This window comes from Homo sapiens, chromosome 5 (genome assembly GCF_000001405.40).
Source record: "Homo sapiens chromosome 5, GRCh38.p14 Primary Assembly".
In the NCBI taxonomy this organism is placed as follows: Eukaryota; Metazoa; Chordata; class Mammalia; order Primates; family Hominidae; genus Homo; species Homo sapiens.
Window position 1 is genome coordinate 59,054,445 of NC_000005.10, and position 16,123 is coordinate 59,070,567.

General features: G+C 37.7%; 1 protein-coding gene and 1 long non-coding RNA gene across 27 annotated transcripts in view, besides 1 other annotated feature; one reads left to right on the forward strand and one right to left on the reverse strand.

The window, feature by feature from the left end:
* PDE4D-AS1 (PDE4D antisense RNA 1) overlaps positions 1-9,066 on the forward strand; it is a 23,745-nt gene extending 14,679 nt beyond the window's left edge. The window contains exon 2 of the long non-coding RNA NR_198970.1: positions 8,641-9,066. This is a non-coding gene — a long non-coding RNA (PDE4D antisense RNA 1). The remainder of the gene's footprint in view (positions 1-8,640) is intronic.
* PDE4D (phosphodiesterase 4D) overlaps positions 1-16,123 on the reverse strand; it is a 1,553,091-nt gene that overhangs the window by 85,407 nt on the left and 1,451,561 nt on the right. The window contains exon 8 of one of the 26 annotated variants that reach the window (XM_047417301.1): positions 1-16,123. This exon is cut by the window's right edge and continues 20,558 nt beyond it. The exons of the other annotated variants lie outside the window; for them this stretch is intronic. The gene's annotated coding sequence lies outside the window, so the exon portion shown is untranslated. 26 annotated transcript variants of the gene reach the window in all.
* Positions 6,985-7,185: a silencer, noted in NCBI's record as "peak5258 fragment used in MPRA reporter construct". NCBI's record gives its function as "represses an SCP1 promoter by STARR-seq MPRAs in K562 erythroleukemia cells {active_cell/tissue: K562}" and the evidence as "EXISTENCE:reporter gene assay evidence [ECO:0000049][PMID:32103011]".

Genomic DNA, 16,123 nt, shown 5'->3' on the forward strand with positions numbered 1-16,123 from the left:
TTTTATACCTATATTTATTTTTAAAAGGTAGAGGAGAGCAGTGGACTCCTATTTAAAGAAACTCTTGTGTTTTATAAATAATAGTCATGGCAAAATTTGTTTACAGTCTTTAACAAACCATGCATTTCAGTATAAATTAAACCAATAAAAAGAATTATATATATAAAATAAAAAGGAAATGTATATATAGGAACAGTATATACCATACACATAAGAGTAAATATATATTCGAGCCAATACAGAGAATTGAAACATAATTTAACATGAAATAACATTTATCCTTACTATGTATGATTCACTCTGATGTTTTCTATTTTATTTAATTTTAAAGTATTAATTGTGACCCCTTAAATTGATTTTGAAATCTACCAATTGGTTTGAAAACACTGAGGTAAGAAATTACCTTGCTTAATAAATGTTAGTTTTGTTTCCCTCTTCCCTCTTCCTCCCTTTTTATAATTAAAAAACTCTCCCTCTACTTCTCTACTTCACGTGAGAGTAGAACACATAAAAAGATTTCAGTTAACTACTGTGCATATTTTTTGAAGTAATTTCTCCATAATGTGTGAGTTTTCTCAGGGTACTACAAGTTTACCAACAGAACACATAAAGCAGCGGCCACTCACTGAAATGCCTATAGGAGACAGATAGACCATATGAATGAATGAATGACATGGTTGCTGGGCATCCTGGTTGCAGTGGCTAGAACTGTGGAGGGTAGGAGCAGACCACCATATATCCTAGGCATTTCATTGGCAAATGAACAGGAGAAGGACACCTTTCCGTTTGGCCCTCATTTTCCTAGATCTTTCCTCCCTTCCTCTGTCAATCCCTCCTACATAGCCTATGTTCCCAAAGCACCCCTTGTATTATAATAATAATTATTATGATATCTGTCCTTAATCAAGAACTTATACTGGATTTTTAATGCCTTTAGGTCTTCCCCAAACTTCAGTTCATCTATTCGAAGTCCCTATAAAATCTACCTCCTTAGACTTGTCTGCCCCCATTATTCCCCTGTGGTTGACCTCACCTCCATCTCTATCTTTTGTCAGCAAGTTTCCTCAGAGTTCCCTCTCTGCATACTTGTTCATGCTGGGTTATTTGTTTTTGCCACTTGATCATCTAGACCTTTTTCCCTCTTTCCCTCCTTCTATTCAATTTCTGCCTTTCACTGCTGTACAAAGGAGGGGCAGGGAGGCCCTCCAGGGTGGAGGGAATCAGTCTTGAGATAACTGAGAGATTCAGGGTGATGAGTCCCAAAGTTGAAGAGAATCCACATACTTCTTCTGTTTTTGTTTTACCTAGCAAGGAGCCTTTTCTATAGACAAAGTTGGGAAACCAGAGGTTATGACGTGATTCATCTTTGCCTACTTAAACTTTAGCTTGATTCATCACTTCTCAACAAATACTTGTTGAACCCCACCAGTAATACGAGAAGCTTGGTATTCTATGAGGTGCTCAACTTCCAAAGCTTAGTTCAGAAGAATTCTGGCCTCAAGGCGTCTACCATCTAGAAGCAAACAACTAACAAATGAACAAATGCAGTGATTTCAAAAGAAATTAAGGTGTGCTGTGGTAGAGGCATGCACAGGTCAGAAAAGTTCAGAGGTTCCAGACAGGCTTCCTGGGGAGGATATCCATGCCCCGCCTCCACCTGGTAGTTCATGATCAGAGTTTGCAAGCTTGGCTGGGATAGAGGGAATAGCGTGTGAACCACAGAAGGAGTGGATCTGGTGGCTCAGACACGGCAAGAACCAGCTCATGGCACTAGGCTGCAGGCACACCATGCACAAAACAGTCTTTTCTTTCCCCAGTTCTCCAAATTCTCTAAAGTGGAAGCCTAGGGGTGAGGGTAAGAAGGAGGTAGGAAGCTACAACCACTGGAGCAAAGGACGAAAGAAGGGGCTTGAGTGTCTAAAAGTGCAGAAACTCAACCGACTGGACGCTGAGACAATGTTTAAAAAGGAGTTTTTTTGTTTGTTTGTTTTCTTGTGTTTTTTTTTACTTTAAGTTCTGGGATACATGTGCAGAACGTGCAGGTTTATTACATAGGTATACATGTGCTATGGTGGTTTACTGCACCCATCAGCCCAAACTAGGTTTTAAGACCCGCATGCATTCGGTATTTGTACTAATGTTCTTCCTCCCCTTGCTCCCCCAACCCCCACCAGGCCCCAGTGTGTGATGTTCCCCTCCCTGTGTCCATGTGTTCTCATTGTTCAACTCCCACTTATGAGTGAGAACATGCAGTGTTTCGTTTTCTGTTCCTGTGTTAGTTTGCTGAGAATGATGGCTTCCAGCTTCATTCACGTCCCTGCAAAGGACATAAACTCATTCTTTTTTATGGCTGCATAGTACTCCATGGTGTATATGTGCCACATTAAAAATGACTTTTTAAAGTGGCAACTGTGGGAGGCAAAGGAGAAAAAACAGGAGCTGCCAGATAAGGGAGTGAAGAGAACCCAGCACTTTGAGAATTCCGTTACATTTTGCAGCTTGAATTCTTCACTTTTTGCTCCCATTATGTGCCTCTTTCTCCTCTCCATGAACTGGGCCCTGTGGACCCAGGATCCTGCTGTCTTTGCAGGGCAAAGAATGGTTAGAAATGAATTCATTAAGGTGAGAAACCATTGCTGGCATAATTCTCCTTCACGGAAACCTGGCACTTAAATTTAACCTGTTTGGTTAGATCCAGCTCTGCCTCCCCCATTTTTTTCTGCAGAAACAAGGCTGGCAGATCCCTGTTCCTCTTAATCCTTGAATGGACCAAATGCTGGGTTATGCTGGGGCAGTGAGGGACCTTACAAACACTGAAATTTAAGAGAACAGTTTTTGGAGTAAGGCAGTCCTTGTTTCCAAATCTGAGCTTTGCCACTGATTGACTAGCTTGGCACCTTATAAAAGTGAATTAACCTAGCTTGTTTTCTAATTTATAAAATGGAGAAAGCAGTACCTATATCACAGTATGATTCTGAAAATTATTTAAATAGGACTATGTATGTAAAGCAGTGCCTGAAAAATAGCAAGTGGTCCTAAAGTCACTATGATGATGAATTTTATATGCAGGCACCTAGAGCATGTTAGGATTTTTGGGATCTTTCCCAGCTCACACTGAAGCTTCACTCTTCTCCAACAGTCTGTTATCCAATGCTGGATAACTGAGATAGTCTTCCCAGCATTTATCAATGTGGTTAGGAACAGTAATCCTGGAAAGCATTCTCAAATTATTTATCTAATTAAACAAGCAAACCTTTTTAGCCCAGACATCCTAAATCTCTGTAGCTTGTCTTCGCTGATTTGGTCAGAATAGCTCAGATGGTAGGAAGGGCTTTCTGGGTAGAAAAAAATAAATTAGCAGTCTGGAAAACAAAAGATCTCTGCTTAAAAGAGTCTCTAAAACAGCCTGATCAGCCTGTGTATTTTGCCATATTATCTAGCATTAGTAGGGGACTGGGAAAAATCCAGGGCTCCTTGTAGAGATAGAGACTGGCAAATATTATGTTTGATGCATGAGAACCAAATCAGAAGTTAACTCTTTAAGTTATTAAATCACTAAACAGTCTATCACAATTATGTGTTTATTACTAGACTGAATTTCTCTGGGGCTGGAACCATAATGAATTCATTTTTTGATCTCTGGTGCTAAACACTGGCTGTCATATACTAGGTATCCAATAAATGTTTGTTGAATGGAACTGAAAAAGCATGAAACACTTCCCCTGTTAAGGCTTCTTTTCTATAATATTTCCATAGTTTCTAATGCATCTGAGAATCATTAACTGGACTGTTAGAGGAATATGAATATGGTTGAGGGAGCTACAAACTTCATGCTCTGAGATGTCACATGATTAGTGTAACTTTTGTTCCAGGGGAGAGAAATCCCTAAGAGAGTGACTGTTCTCCATGCCCACCCACCCACAGTGTCCTATAGAGCCTTTCATTCTCCAGATGCCTATAATGACTATCACATTGATTTGTTTACATATCTATTGCCTTGTCTTCCTTATAGGTACAGAGTCCATACATCCTAATTGGCCTGGAACTTCCAAGGTCTATGCCTGTTATACCAGTGTAATTATGAATAGCATTGCCTTTCATTCTAAAAAGTGTTCTGGTTTGAATGCTAAATCATCTAGACACCCTACTTATGAGAGGGTTCACTGTACATCGTTTAGTCCCCCAACTCCCCTCCCCTTGGAAATCTGGGTACTACCCTCTACCGGGGGCTTTCCACTATGGAGGCAGCTCTCTCAATCACAGCATTCAGGAGGTGTAAGTCCACTCCCAACAGAACAGACACCTGTCTACAAAGAGACTCTTGGTGGAAGAAAAAAAAAAATCACTTCCGTAAGTTTAAGTCTTCCTTTTAAACTTGGGTCTCTTTTGCACATCAGAAACAAAGAATCTCTAATAATTACATCCCTAAATGTACTGAAGTCTAGAAGACATGCCCATTTGAAAACTCTAATCTAGTAATTAAAGCTTCTCAGGTTAAACTGCACCTTAATAATGTAGCTTATTTTGTCAAGATCAGTTAAGGCCCTGTAATGTGATTTGGAATAAATGGACAGACAGAAATTAAAATGTGCTGGACAAGGTAATCAGAAATCTCACTTCATTTAGTCAATAACAATGGCAATTCAGCGGGTTCCTTTTACTACTGGGATGTAATTGTGCTTGGCTTTAATTTCTTGTAATGATGGAACAAATTAAATTACTTCATACTTTTAGGAACATTTGGCTACATCATGTTTTGGTGCTTCCATAAACCCCACTGGAAATTAAATCAGCTCTGTGGTTGCTCATTCTCCCTCTTTAGTGCCATGTCTGCCTTCTGTCAGCAAAATGGTAATATTGTCTACCTTAATCCACCAGATGCAGTTGAGTTAAAAGAAATTACCTCTCCCACCTCTTTCCTTTCAAATCTCCCTATTTGTAGCTATCAAATTTTGGCATGCCTGCTGGAACACAGTCTTGTTAGAACAAGCACGGTAATTCTCTCGTGAGACTTTAGGACTCTCTCTACGACAAGGTCAGAATGTACCTGTGATTCAAATTTAGATGAGGATATGAGTTGGTAAGAACATGAAGAGCATCAGACAGTTTTCAGGACACCCACTACTTTTATTTTGTGCTATCAGTTTTTCCTTTCCCAAATTGCAGGTGGAGATGCAATCTTTAACGCTGGAAATCTCTTGCTATATGCCATTAAAATTAATTAGTCTAGCACATTTTATCTTTAGGCCCTTACCTAGGGCAGGTAAAATATTCTAGCACAAAATAACACAACTTTCCTGAACACCATGGCTACTAAGTTCATATGGTAAAGATTATACTATACATTACCTTGCAAATAGAGTGTTGCAGACTGATATTAAATATTTAAAATGTATGCAGGATTATTAATAGGCAACATTGTGGCAGAGACTGCTAAATGTCCCCTAATATTGATGCTTTTCTTCATCACTTGTTTTCAAATACCTGTTTTCATGTAAGCATGTGACTGCCCAAAATAGAGAAAATTCACAGCCTCCTTGGTTGCCAGGTGTTGCCATATAACTAAGTTTTGGTGAATGAGTTGGTAGTAGAAGCGTTATGTAGATATTATATGATGTGCTAGAAACTTCCCTTAAGAGAAATTTGTCATCTATCTTTTTATCTGCCTGTATTTATTGTTTTCTCTTTCCTACTGGCTAGAATGTGAAGTTGATGGCTGGAGTCGGAGCAGCCATATTGGATGGTGAGTTGAATTTAGCAACAGAGGCTACACCTCACAGTGCAATAAGATGGAAAGAGCACGTGTCCTTGAAGACTGTACTGGATAGAGGTGCCATATTAACCTCGGACTGCCAACTTTCAGATTTTACATGAAGGAGAAATATCTGTCTTCCTTAAGCCACTTCTATTTTAAATCTCTCTATTTACTGCTGAATAAAATCTCAACTAACGCAAACACCAATAACAAAAAATTCCTATTCACTCATGATATAGGATTATACCTTAGTCTTTTTTGTGTCATATATCTGTTCATTCACCATTTTTGCTTTGATGTTCAATAAACATCTCAAATTTAACATATCTATAAAAATTTTTTAAATTTTACGTTCAGGGGTATATGTGCAGGTTAGTCATATAGGTAAATTGCATGTCATGGGGTGCTGGTGTACAGATTATTTCACACCGAGGTAATAAGCATAGTACCCCTACAGCTTAGTCTTAAGAAGAAGTATGTTCACATAGGCCAGGCTGAGACTTGGATGTTGGATGACTTTCTTCCAGCTTACTCTGATTTGAATATATTGTGTGGTAGTAGATGGCTAAACTGCTTGCTCCAAAACTATCTGACAATGCTTTTTAGAAAGTCTGCCAAACAAAACTACAAGAATCACCCTGGAGCTTCCCTTAGGCTTCAGATATTTGTCTTCCCTGCCCTACTTGGAAATCATTCCAGCCTGGAAGTCATTGTGAGGAACCAAAAAATGGTCTCCCTACCATGAAGAATAACACTGCTTCCATTGTTGGGAGGCTCTCCTTCCTACAGGCACTGTCCCTCACTCATTAGACACTTGAATAATAAGGATGTTCATATATTTATTGGTGTTGGTATCAGTTAGACAGTTGAATGATACAAATGTTCATATATTTCTTCTTATTCAATAGTCTCACAAGAACACTATTCTTGTAAAGTCATTAAAAACTGGATGGTCTTTTCATAATTATTTCCATGATTTGTCATCTAAAGCCAGTGTTCTCTCCTCCTGTCAATCTGATAGCTTTAAAGCTAAGTTCTGGGTGGGTCCAAGTCATGCCTGAAAGGTTTATCAAATGACATATTGCAGTCATATGGTCGGAGCACAAACACCTCTGAATGTACAATATTTTAAAGCAAAACAGTTTATGTGTAAGCTCTATGAGGTTACGGACCATGACTATCTTATTTATTACCAAATCCCCAGCTCCTAGAACAGTGCCCCTCAATATAAATCTGTCAAATGAATAAACGAAGAGTTTGCCTGCAGTAGTAAACTTGTTATTTGCACACACTCGAGGCCCACCTCTATGTGTACATTGTCAGTGAGTCAGCCTCGTGGATGACTCTGCAGGACTGTCTGTATAACATCCACTACAGTTACCAGGGGACCCAATTTTCATAAATTGCTCCAGCATCACACCCTCCTCTTACAGAGACTCTTCCTGTCCATTCTAATCCCTGACACGTTGTCATCCTCACTCAGATTCCCCAATAGATAGAAATGCTGTTAAATATACTTGGGTAGAGAGGGATAGGCATGCTCAAACTCGTTTTGGGAAAAAAAATTGCAACTGTCAGAAATGTGTTAGCTATCTTCACAGATTATGAAACATAAATATCAATTATCTGTTCACAGCAGTGAAAGCCTGCATATTTTTTTAAGATAGCAAGTATAAAACGGCTATAAGTACCATGTTGAGTAGAGACCTACCACCGAAGTAGAGACCTTCACTGAAATAGTGAAGGGATGGTTGTGTTGCAGGGTCAGAATGATTACCCACTGGTTGACACTCCCTCCAGGACTAAAGGCAGCATCACCAGCGTCCACTCTGCTTCTCCACTGCTTACTGTTAAGGAGCAAGGCAATAGCATTATCTAAGTAGGAACTACTTCATTCTTTCAAAACCTGGAATCGGCTGATCAGAAGAAGAAAAACAGTATAAAAATACAGAAAGACAAGATTCTCTGGCTGTCCTAATGAATGCTAGCTAGCTATAATAGCATGGATAAGACATATAACCAAACATATAAGATCTATTAATTAAGGGGAATCTCTATTTGTATTAACTCATCTATTTTCTCTAAAACCAGTATTTAGTTATCTCCCATACATTGGCATATTGTGTATATTTGCAGAATTCAAAATGTTACTGATGTGACTTTTTTCCATCAGACATCTGAGCTATCCCTCAACTAATAGTTGAGCTGTTCCTCTATAGCTCAGTATCTGAGTTAGAACTCGAAGTAAAAAGGTATAAATAAGTCATGCTATAAAATTCAAAGGCAATCAGATGTTTGAGACTATAGTTATACAGAAAAGTGTCCTTGTTCTTGGGAGGAATACATCGAGGAGTTTAGGGATAGAGGGCTATGATGTGTGCAGTTTTCTCTCAGGTGGTTCAGAGAAAAAAAGACAATGTGTGTGTATGTATATTTGTGTGTATGTGCACATAGAGTGATACTGCAAATGAGGTGGAATGTTTACAATGAGTGAATGCATGTGGTTTTTTTTTTTTTTTTGCACTACCCATGAAGCTTTCCAGTGTGTCTGAAATAACTTCCAGATAAAACTTTTTTTAAAGGCAATCAGAACAGTGGCAATGAATAATTCAATTATTTCATATTTGAGCTGTCTTTCCTGCCACCCCCACCCCCTATAACACTACATACATACATAGGCTCACATAAGTGACACTTACTATACTTTTTTGCCTATGTAATGAGTGTTGGCGAAGTACGTGAGTGGGAAATTCAGTCTTTTGCATTCAAGCTCTAAGTAATTCTAAGAGACCTTTTAGATAATGATTTGACTTTTAAGACAACAATTTTGAGGTTATAATATGATGTCATTTCATATAAACAGAACTGCCCTTTTGTCCTTTCAGATTTGATTGAAAATGGCCCATGGAGTACAACCACCTGGGAACATATCCTCGAGAAAGACAGTTGAGGCTTATTGCCTAAACCACAGGCTACTGAAAACTTGGCCAAAGGCGACTACTCTAGACTGGTGACTTCAAAAGTGCTGATGAATACAGTGAACCATGAAAGATGCATTATTTGTTTTGAACATTTTACTATGATTGATGACCCAGATTTGGCAAGTTAGTTCACTCCCAGTGGAGATGAAAGTTTCACTGCCTTCTTTCTTTCAACATTCTTGTTGAGACAGATTTCACTTTTATTGGCCAATGTACTAACAAATCACTTGCATTTGCAGCATAATGAATTCATTAGCAACACTGTGGATCAATGCTATACATAATATTCCTGAGTCAACATTAACTCTTAATTAAACTTCCTTATTATAATGCCTCTGGAAATTTTCCTTCAGGCTACTAAACTTCAAGCCAACAGTCTAAGTGTTAATCAGTAATCATGCTAGTAACTTTTTGAGATGGGTCAGGGCCAGGGCCAGGGTCAGTGATCCATCATGAATGGCAGGTTTAAAAATGGATATACGTGATCAAAAATACCCATAAGTTGACCAAAGCATTCTAACCTTTGGGTTATTCTAACACTCAGTGTATCAGCCTTCTGAGCAAGCCAATTTTTTATTGCCTTAAAAAGTCTAAAAGAAAGATAAAAACAGAGATAATCAGTTTTGTTTGGCAATGGCAGGGGTGTGGGAAATGAAAAAGAAGAAAGTTAAAGATGAGTGAAAATAGGATAGTCTTGGCACTTTGGTATGAAATTGAAGTACTTATTTAAACTGATGAATATTGTACAGAAATATACAGAGAGCAGTGAGGGGCTAAGAACCTAATTCCAAGGTAACTACAAGGAAAAAATTATTGATCTGGATTGTGACCAGAATTCAAGAGTTTGACTGTTGTCATTGTTGCTGTTGTTATTAAGTTAAAAAAAATGAGAAAAAAATATACTTTTTTCTAGTATACTTACCAGGAAAGGAAAGAGAGAAGGAGGGAGGGAAGGAGGGAGACATGGAGGGGGCAGAGGGAGAGAGAGACAAAGACACTGACAAAGTCTGGAAAAAGACACAAATTCAGATTTAAGATCCCAAAATATGCTACATTTCTGCCCCCTTCAAAATATTAAACTTTGCTAAAATACACTGGAAATTTTTTTTATTGTTTATTTTTTAAATCAACTAGCAGACCAATTAGCCAAGATGATATTTTCATCCTTGGTACTCTTTCAGGTGAGCTCTGTGGGCTACCACCAGAAAGTCCTAGCCAACCAAGCTCTCACTGGGTCACTCTGTGCTAGCTAGACTACATAGCCTCCTAAAAAAGCACGCAGCCCTGATGCTGGTCCTGCCAAAGTGTGGTTTGCTGTCATGTCCTACAGGCTACCCGTTTCCCAGTGATTTATCATAATAAACCAAATGGGAATGAAATACCCAGAAATATGCCATAAATCTACTAGTGGTGAATTTTCAATATTCTGCACACCATGGTGATTTGTTAATTCAGTTGGATCTCTATTAAACCTCTCTAAAATGTCATTAAACCATCTGTTTTGACTTGTTAATCAAACAACTTTTAAAAATGTATTTAGAGTATCAGTAACCCTTGAATTAATGCATCCATCAGTAATAATCCCCTCTCCAACTTTAGATTTATTTTTAAGCTCTAGCTTTTTTCCCCACCATTCCAACAAATAGCCTGACTTCCAAAAGTAAGAATCAATCACTTCAGTTGTAGAAATGTCCAGAGGGTGCCCTACTTTCGAAACAGGAAGTAACTTGATCCAGCAGTCCCACTTCTTGGTATATATCCAAAAGAACTGAAATCTGGATCTTAAAGAGATATTTTCACTGCAGCATATTTGTAATAGCTAAGATACAGAGGCAACCTAAATGTCCATCAACAGATGAATGGACAAAGGAAATGTGATATATATATACACACACACACACACACACACACACACACACACACACACACACACACACACACACATATACAATGAAATATTATTCAGCCCTAAAAAAGGAAGGAAATCCTGTCATTTACAACAAGTTGGATGGAACTGGAGGACATCATGCTAAGTGGAATAAACCAGACACAGAAGGACAAATACTGCATGATCTCACTTACATGTATAATCCAAAATAGTCAAACTGATGGAAGCAGAAAGTAGAATGGTAGTTGCCAGAGGCTGGGGGAAGATGGGAATTGGTAGATGTGGTCAAGGGTTACAAAGTTTTAGTCTTGCAAAATAAGTTCTGGAAAGCTGCTGTATAACATAAGTATACAATCAACAATACTATATTGTATACTTAGAAATTTGGTAAAAGGGTAGCTGTTATATTAAGTGTCCTTACCATGAAAGGAAAACAAAACAAAAAAACCCAAAAAGATGGGAGGAAACTTTTGGAGGCAATGAATAAGTTTATGGCATTGATTGTAATGGTGGTTTTAGGGTGTATACCTGTCTCCAAACATCTTGCAGAATAAACATATTAAATCTAAAGTTTCCTTGGGAAAGAAGATGAGAAAATAATTGTCAAGAGACTGTACACCAATAAAATAGTCAAGGAGTACAATGAAAACTTAGGAATCCCATTTCTTCCTTTGACTCACACTGTTTGATGATATCATTCACATCGGCATTTGGAAGTTATTGAGACATTTCAACATAAGATTGTCCTTATGATCTATGATTTGGGACTCTCTTATAAGAAAGTCCATTCTATACCAATTTGTTTTGTTCCTTGGTAACTAGACCTTCTTTAATTGGATCTAAGAATTAATATTCCTATCTCATAAAGAAGACTAAAAGGATCCAAGTAGATGGAGTTTCAAAGGTGGTCCCCATAAAAGCATTTTTACCTTAAGCAAAGATGTCCCAATTTTTCCTGCTTGCTTTTCGGATGCTGTTCTAAAAAAAATGTACCTTATTCCTTCTACTAAAAGAAAACCTATCAATTCATTGATTCATTGAACAAATATTTATTGAACATGTAGTATGTACTAAACACTGGGTAAGATTCCAGATATGCAAAGAGGAATAAGTCCCTGCCCTTAAGAAAACTCACAGTGTGGTCAAGCTAACAATTCTAGAGCAACTGTGTGATAAGGGCTCCAAAAGCACATGCAGGAACACAGAGAGAGGCACTCTTAGTCTTGGAGGGGCTTCCTACAGTGGGCAATTTTTGATGTGTCACAAAAGGAGGAGCTATTAGGGCACAAGAAGAGCAAGGGTGAAGTGCAGAAAGGAGTGAATAGATGGGGAGGGGACCCAGGCAAAGAGAATAACATCAGCAAAGGTGCAACTTCATGGGAACACAGTACATTTGGAAGCCTGCCCACCATTTGTTACAGCAGAATGCATGTGTGGGTGGAGATGAGGCTGCAGAGATGGGCTGGAGAGGATTATGAGAGATGGATGACTAGCAAAGGAAGTTGGTCATGTCCTTATGTGGTGGGGGACCATGGAAAGATTTTTATTTATAAGACGTGGTTTATTCTTCATTCTGTGGCAAAAAGCAGATACTATAGTCTGAATGTTTGTGTCCCTCCCCACATTCATATGCGATGAAACCTCATCACCAATGTGATGGTATTAGGAGGTGGGGCCTTTGGGAGATAATTAGGTCATGAGAGCACAGCCCTTATAAGGGGATTAGTGGCTTATAAAGGAGGCCCAAGAGAGCTGCCTTGCCCCTTCCACCATGTGAGGACAAAGCCAGAGGCACTATCTATGACCCAGGAAATGAGCCCTCACAAAATACCAAGTCTACCGTGCCTTGACCTTGGACATTCTAGTCTCCAGAACTGTGAGAAATAAATTTATGTTGTTTATAAGCCACCCAGCTCGTGATTTATTTATTTATTTATTTATTTATTTATTTATTTATTTATTTAGAGAGAGAGTTTTGCTCTGTCACTCGGGCTGGATTTCAGTGCCATGATCTCAGATCACTGCACCCTCTCCTTCCCAGGTGCAAGTGATTCTAGTGCCTTAGCCTCCTGAGTTGCTGGGATTACAGGTGCTTGTGACCACATTTGGCTGATTTTTTTGTATTTTTAGTAGAGATTAGGTTTCATCATGTTGCCCAGGCTGGTCTGAAACTCCTGACTTCAAGTGATCTGCCCACCTCGGCCTCCCAAAGTGCTGGGATTACAGGCATGAGCCACTGTGCCTGGCTATGATATTTTGTTACAGCAGCTTGAATGGACTAAGACAGAAGGAAAAATAGGCCTTTCTGTAGCGTGAGCTGAAAGACAGAAAATAGCCATAGGTTTCTAAAGAGAGAAAAAGATATATGTTTGACAATATGTTTCAATTAGTACTTTTTTTGAAATGCAGTAAGTTACCTATACCTTATTCCATTTCTAATCTATATGATGGCATTTAAATATTGACTAGGTTTCTGATACAGTTTTTGGAGTCTGAATGTCACTGCATGGATGAATAAACCAAACAGATCGGATTCATATGGGTTTGCCAAATGACAAATTTTTTTCCATGTAAGATTAGAGGAAAAACTGATTTCACCCAATTTCCTGCCTTATTTATATTAGAACTGAAGTCAATGCTGTTATCCCTTTGCATGTTCTTTTGTATTTAAAATCTGATATAGAATTGTGCTGTTACAGAAGAAATAATTTAATGCATTCTGCCCTCTTATTTCTCATGAGTTTTCATTTAAAAGAAAACAAAAAAGAAAAAGGACATGGACTTTTCTTTATTTCTAGACTTTATAAACTTTTTAGTTATCAAATAAACACATGTATTAATTAAGTAGGTAAAATATTGCATATATTAAAAGGTACTTGGAGACTCATATGTTGTCAGTTTTTCATGACTCAAAATTTATGAAAAACCATCTAAGACTATCGTAATGAAGTTCAATTGTAGATCTTGAAGTGACAAAACATGAACCACATTGACTTGAGGTCCAGGGCTTAAAACTGCCTATTTGAGCTCTAGGTTAAAAGCATGTGTGAAATGCAAAGTCTGACATCTGCACAGCTGACTATTGTGAAGTCTCAGTATCATTGTTCATAAGTAAAGCTTGTCCCTAAGCCATACCACAAGCATTCCCAGAGGATATAGATTTCATTTGATTTAACATGATTGTTGATATTGGTAGTGTATTTCACGTGAACTTGTGAAATCATTGTCTATACAGACAATTGAGACACTAAAACTTTTTTTTAAGTATTTTTTGTTAGGGGCTAGATCTGAGGTTTTTTATTCATTTGTTCTTTTGTTCACTCATTTGTTAGTTCAGTTATTTACTCAAAAATGTATATTGAGCAATTCCTATATGGCAGACACTGACAGATGCTGGATTCAGTGATGAGCAAAGCATTCGTGGTTTCTATGCCCAAGGATCCTATCCCGTGGAGTGTAGAGTCAAGCAAAGAATGTCAACAACAAATGAAAATTTTAATCTTATTAATGTTATATGCAAAAATGTAACACCTCCAAAAAAGACAATTTATTTCCTATTAAGGAATGAAGGCAGTCCACTGAGGAAGATCAACATGTAAGCACATGTAAAGCAAAATAATCAATAGGTAATGTAGTTTTTGAAAAAGAAGGGGCTTTAAGCAGGAAGTCCTGGGTTTGGACTTGGGTTTCAAATCTAGCTATGTACTCTTGGGCCACATACCCAAGTCTTGTAAGTCTCAGTTTCCTCCTTTTTAAAGTTAGCCTAAAACTACCTCGCTCATCTAATGGTGTGAGAATTAGGTAAACAGCCAGGTAGCTCATCAAATTGTAATTATTATAATTGTTATTTTTTGAGTCATGAAAGTTTTCACACTGAAGGGAACATTTCAACTTGACCTGGAAGAGTAAGTAGTTTATCAGGCAGAAAGAATTTGTTAGGGTATTCCAGAGAGAAGGAACAAAATGTGCAAATTCAAGTAGTCAGAATCAAAATGGTTTCTTAAAGGAATGACAAACAGATCAGTGCAGTTGGAGCCTAAAGTTATCTAAATAATCCGTTAGACCTTTTCTTTAACTGATAAAATAAAGCAAGCATTCCAAAAATCAATTTAAATCCATCTTCCTCCTTATACCTCTCCATTCCCCATACCATGGAAACACAGTTTTACCTCTTTTACAATGAGTTGTCAGCATGAAGAGACTTGGTTCATTAAGATTAGCAAACTTCACAGCATTGAACAAAAGATAAAGAAAAGTTTATAGCAAATACGTTCCATGTGAAAGCATCTCCAGCAGGTTCAGAAGATGCAATGAAAAGACTAAAACTTGATATAGGGATATTTCAGTGGTGCTCGTACCAGCGTCCTAACATTTTGTTCTACCTTAGTAAAATCTATCCCTTATTACTCATCCTATCTGTAGACTCTCTTATGGAACAAGAAGCTTTTTTTTTTTTTTCCCTAATCCCGTGGGGAAGCCCTCTCCTTCCCTGGGTGATTCCTGAGCAACCAGGAAAACAGCAGTCACAGTCAACACAGCTAGTACTTGCAGAAAATCTCTCTTCTGTGATGCTCTGAATGACTCACAGTTCCAGATGGCCTTGTCAGCCTTTATCCGCATTCCACTCTTGGCACCATTAACCTGGTCTACTGTGGTTGCAACAAATAACTTTTCTTGTTATGAGGACCAGTGTTTTGAAAAATTTAAAATGTTATAAAATTAAAATGTTTATATTTGGAAATTATTTCCAAATATAAAAGGAGCCTGTCTTCATTATAGATTATTTGGAAAAAATGCAGAGGGGTGCAAAAGAAAAATGGAAACAAGCCATCTTTTTTTTACCCATAATTCTACCACTCAGAGACAACTACTGTGAACATTTTGATGTATTTATCTCCAGTCTTTCTAGAAGGTAGATCACTGTAAGAGATTTCTGAAGCAGAAGTACTAAGTCAGAAGGAATAAACATTTTTATACCTCTTAATGTGTATTGCCAGATAGTTTTTGAGAAATATTACAGCAATTTCTACTTTTAGAAGTACTGCTTGAGAGTGATGTTACATGGTATTCTCACTAACACATATACAATGTTATAAATATGTCCAAAAATAAAACTTAGCAACTATGTTATCTCCTTGTTTCAATTTGAACTTATTACAAGAGTGATCAATTTTTAAATTTAAATGTTATTTTTAGCAAAGTTATAGATGCAAATAGTTTAGAGAACTAAGTAGTACCACAAGGATTAAAAAAAGAGATCTCCTGCAGTGCATCCCCCACCCACAATACATACATGTATCTTCCACTCCCCAGAGGGTACCCATTTTCAAATATTTTAGCTGATTCATTTGCTATACTCCACTCTATCTCTAAATGATATAACTTTACAGTTACTTCTTAATAGTTCATTTTTTTGGGCATTGCTTATTGATACTTCATAGCGGAAGATAAGGATTTACCTTTGCAACACTTCACACTTCTCATCACCCATCCTTCTAA